Here is a 3,435-nt window from a genome sequence, read left to right as displayed (position 1 = left end):
AAAATCATGGTATATACAAATGGCCTCTGACTTAAAATGATTCAACTTACTATTTTTCCACTTTGTGATGGTGGAAAAGTGGTATGCATTCAGTAGAAACAGTATTTCAAGTACCTATGCAACCATTTTGTTTTTCACTTTCAGTACAGTACTGGAGGAATTACATGAGATATCCAACACTTATAACAGGCTTTACTTTATGTTATTTTGCCCAGCTATAGGCTAATATAAGTGTTCTGAGCACATTTGAGGCAGCCTAGGCTATGATGTTTGTTAGGTTAGGTGTATTATATGCATTTTCAATTTGTGATATTTTTAACTTGTGATTATATGCATTTTCAATTTATGATATTTTTAACTTGTAATGGGACACAATCCCACATAAATCAACGAGTATCTGTATGGTGTTCATTACCCTTTGTGATTTCAGGCATCCACTAGGGGTCTTGGAATGCTTCCCTTAGGGACAAGGAAGGACAATTGGGCCATAAATTATATATTCATTTCCTTTTTGAAGGACATTTTGTTTCCAGGGTTATTTGCCATCTTATTACAAACAAAAATGAAATAAACATCCTTGTGTACCTTGGTTATCCTTTTCTAGGATATCTGTACATGCAAGATACAATAATCAGAAGATACACATTGTTAGATTCCAGGGGAGTCAGCGGGCAAGGGGTGGGCAGCTGAAAGAACACTCAAGAGATCACAGGTAGGTGGGGACATGGCTTTATTTAGCAGCTCACCCACACTGTCAGTGCTGCATTTATGCATGTCACACACAATACTGGCTCAGAGCCAGGTGATGAGCCCTCCCATGTTATGGCTACATAACTGTGATTATAAAATGCATGGGATTGTGCACCTGCGCTCCAATCTCATTGTGTCATGCTATTCCAGATGTGTACCTCGGCCTATACTTGACTACAGTGCAGCCATCATCCTTACACACGTATCTCACCCTTTGTAGATGTTTTCCAATACCTTCCATAAAAGTTGATAAATGTCTACCTTTATTGATTATATATGGAGAATGTGTGTTTTCCTCACATCATTTCCAGCAATGGGTATTCTCAAACTTTAACATTTTTGCCAACTTGATGGGTGAACACCACCTCATTTTGTTTGGATTTGCACTATTTCACAATATGAGTCTCCTTGGACCTTAAATATCTCAAGAGACTCTCCTGATAGTTGTTTCTCCTACTACACTAGTGAGTCTTGCTTAACTGCTTTTCTCCACCCACACCCACACTTCCCAGTATTCCGGTGCTTGGCATAATACTCTGGCACAGAGAAGCTTGTAAACAGTTGCTTAACTGATTGACTAAAATTAATCACCAACTGTACAGAAATGGTTTTACTTCGTGTGTGTGTGCCTCTGTGTGTGTTTTACCCAAATCCTAAGCCAGTAATAGCTAACATTTATTGAACATTTTTTTAATGACGGTGTTCTAAGTATCACATATATATTATCTTTGTTAATCTTTATAACCACCTGTAAGGTAGGTACAATTATTATTATTACCACTTGATGAAAAATGAAACACAGAAAGATTGAATGGATTTTCTCGATCTATAGGTATAGGCTTACAGTGATAAAATTCAACAAAGGGAGGGATGAGTAATCGATGCATTTAGTCTCTGTGCTACACACTGCCTCTCAGTTGCTGAACTGCTATTTTCGTATTTCCCAGGCAAATAATACCATAAACTTGTGCTGGTATAGATTTCTAGGTAATACCTCTCAAAATTTGATAATAAACTTATGGTGTTCTGTTAATGGGTGGAGGTAAAATCTGCATAAGTGAAACAGGATTAAAGCCAACATGTATATGAATTCTTATATATGCACTTATCTGACTTCTACTGGAAATTTGTTTACAGTAGGGTATAAAATGTGGCTATTCTTGTGGTCTTAAAGATTCAGTGGAAGTTATAAATGCTAAGAACAAAAAAAAAATGGATTCTAAAACACCACAGAAGTGCTGGTCTTGCAAATGGAATGGCCCACCAGTGATGGTCATAGCAGAGTTAGCGCACCATATGAATAGGGGACATCAGAGCCTGGGGACTAGAAGGGCTGCTTCAGAGAGGGCTGCAGGTGTGCAGAAAACTCTTGATTGTCACAGGGAGAGGAGGGCCTTCTGCTTTTTCACCTTAAACCAAGTGTGGAACTTCAAGGGAACTAATTACCAAGATGGATGTGTGATCCTTGAAATTTGGGCATTTGCAAATGGCTATCTGATTCAATCCTGAGAGTGTCTGAGGGTAAAAGATGGCGGTTGGAATGAATGTGAGAGCACCCGAAAAACAAAGCAGCCAGGGGAGGCAGCCAATGAATTAGAGTTTCCTATATAGGGATGTGCTCACCTGGGGAGCCTTCGAGGAGTTCCAGGAAGGAGGGATCAGCTTATAAATATCTGCAAAACACACACACGCACACACACGCACACACGCGCACACACACATACATGCGTGCACACACACGCACACACACATGCACACGCACACGCACACACACGCACAGGCACACACATTGCATAAAACAATATTCCCAGATCTCTGTCCATTACCTCTCCTTTCTTTCTGCTCTATCCCTGGAGTATCAGAGGCCACACAGTGAATGAGTGAGGAGGAGATGAGGAAAAGTCTAATGAACGGGTGAAGAACCCCATCCTGGCCTCTTCCCTGCTGCAGATGTTCTAGTTGGAGGCACTAAAAAGGCTGAAGGGTGGAGGGAAGCTCTATGATGTATGAGAGATTCCATGGGGGGACGTTGTAATACCTGAAAATAACCAGAAAAACTATGGAAACCAGCCCAGATTCCATTCACATACTAAGAAAGCTCCAGGAGAACCTTAAAGAAGCAACTTATAGTGGAATACAGGTCAAGTTCACTCTTTGGCAACTTCAGAATGGGGTGGGAGCCCAGCTCACTTCTTGGCTCTGGAGTCTGGACACCCTCTATGAATTCCCAGCTCAGTGTCCGTCCCACGTGTTTACCCAGTCCTTTCAGATGACATACCATGGGCACACACCTATATTCTGGTCTCTCTCGTTTTTCAGGCTACTACAGGAAAAGATTGGAAAAGAAGAGAGATATGACACCATTGTCCTGTTATTATATCCAAAGCTCCATTCAAAGGCATGTAAACATGCACTAGTGTCTGTATGATCACACATTTGTATGTATTATCATTTGCTATTAGTTTTATTTCTTCTATTTTAAATGTTATTATCCAAACAGGCTGGGCACAAGCTTTCCGTACTTGTTCCACCATAAATAAACAATAATGCCTAAACACAATTTGTAAAATGTCATCTCCAAACCACAGCTAGGATGCTGCATAAGTAGGAAACCAAAATTAAATCTAACTGGGCACCATGCCCAGACCACAGGCTTCCGGCAAACAGACAGAAAGGGAGGAAAAA

Source organism: Homo sapiens, chromosome 8, assembly GCF_000001405.40.
Source record: "Homo sapiens chromosome 8, GRCh38.p14 Primary Assembly".
Lineage (NCBI taxonomy): Eukaryota > Metazoa > Chordata > Mammalia > Primates > Hominidae > Homo > Homo sapiens.
This window is presented reverse-complemented; position numbering follows the sequence as displayed.